Raw genomic sequence first — 1,506 nt, 5'->3', positions numbered from 1 at the left:
GAGAAGATGTAGTTTTCAGCTGTAGGATTTAATATATCCACACAACTAAGAAAAAGAAATTATAAGTTTTTCCATTCTTTAAACTTCTACCAATTCTAGAAAGTTAAATAATTTATCCCAGAGGAAGACTGTTAATAAACCCAAGAAATCTCATATAATCTAATGCTAATTTTTTTTATGATTTAACATAACCAAAATTACTACTTTATTAAATTTGAAATTAGTCTTTCTATGGTGATTAATAATAGAGTGGGTTTGTATATATTTTCTTCATTCAAAAATAATAAACATGTTAAGATTTAATTTAAAAATGCCATCTACATATACTTAAGAAAAATTATATGTGCAAAAAAGACATCAAGAATAAAACAAACACTTTTAATCATACAACAAAAAAAGACAACTACTGTAAACATTTTTGGTGTATTTCAACTTGCAACTGAGTCTCTTTTTTGCTATCAGATCTTTTTATATATTTAAATCCTATATCTGTCTACATGTGTTATGTAAAATTCATATTATAATCAAGTCAGAGATTATATTGTATATGCTGTATTATATGCTGTCTTTTTTTTTTTTTTTTTTTTGAGACAGAGTCTTGCTCTGTCACCTAGGCTGGAGTGTAGTGGTGTGATCTCGGCTCATTGCAACCTCAGCCTCCCAGGTTCAAATGATTCTCCTGCCTCAGCCTCCTGAACAGCACATACCATCACTCCTGGCTAATTTTTGTATTTTTAGTAGAGACGGGTTTCATCCTGTTGGCCCGACTGGTCTTGATCTCCAGATCTCAGGTGATCCTTCCGCCTCAGCCTCCCAAAGTGCTGGGATTACAAGTGTGAGCCACCGCGACTGGCCTATATGCTGGTTTTATTCTTGGCATAGAGTTTCTCCAATTTTTCTTCTCAAATTTGTGTTGCTAATGACAATCAAAGGGAGATAAATAATCTTGGAGGTCTTGGTATAAAAGACTAACCAGGGCTGCCAAAAACAGACAGTTGTTTCAAATTGTCTTTTTTTTCTCTTTCATGTGAATTTTGCATTGCAATCCATATTATATTCGGGTTAGTTGTTTTATTTCCCCATAGATATATTTTAATAAAATTGACAGTCTATGGAGATGAGCTATATTTATCCCATGGCCCATGCACCATCTCATACAGTGTCACATGTAAACACAGGCATCCCCTTTAAAGAAGTGTAGACACCCACATACAGAGTGCCGTTTTAAGTGTGATGCATGAATGAATCAACAAATGCAGTATAACTAAATAATGAATGATATAATTATTTTCAATTATTTTAATTAACAAAATTGTATATATTTATGAAGTAAAACATGATGTTTTAAAATACGCATATATTGTGGAATCACTAAATCGAGCTAATTAATATATGTATTGCTCCACATACCTGTCATTTTTTGTGACAAGAACACTCAAAATCTATTCTCTTGGCATTTTTCAATATATAATACATTGTTATTAACTATAGTCATCATGTTGTACA

At 31.7% G+C, this 1,506-nt stretch overlaps 1 annotated feature.

The window, feature by feature from the left end:
- Nucleotides 736-867: a silencer, noted in NCBI's record as "fragment chr8:24471047-24471178 (GRCh37/hg19 assembly coordinates)". NCBI's record gives its function as "represses an EF-1alpha promoter that drives an FKBP-Casp9 reporter gene in an ReSE screen in HepG2 liver carcinoma cells, and both phorbol 12-myristate 13-acetate-treated (for megakaryocytic differentiation) and untreated K562 erythroleukemia cells {active_cell/tissue: HepG2 | K562 | K562(+PMA)}" and the evidence as "EXISTENCE:reporter gene assay evidence [ECO:0000049][PMID:32094911]".

The sequence above is a fragment of the Homo sapiens genome, chromosome 8 (assembly GCF_000001405.40).
Source record: "Homo sapiens chromosome 8, GRCh38.p14 Primary Assembly".
Taxonomy (NCBI): Eukaryota; Metazoa; Chordata; class Mammalia; order Primates; family Hominidae; genus Homo; species Homo sapiens.
Note: the sequence above shows the minus strand (reverse complement) of the source record. Positions and strands in the feature narration are given on the sequence as shown.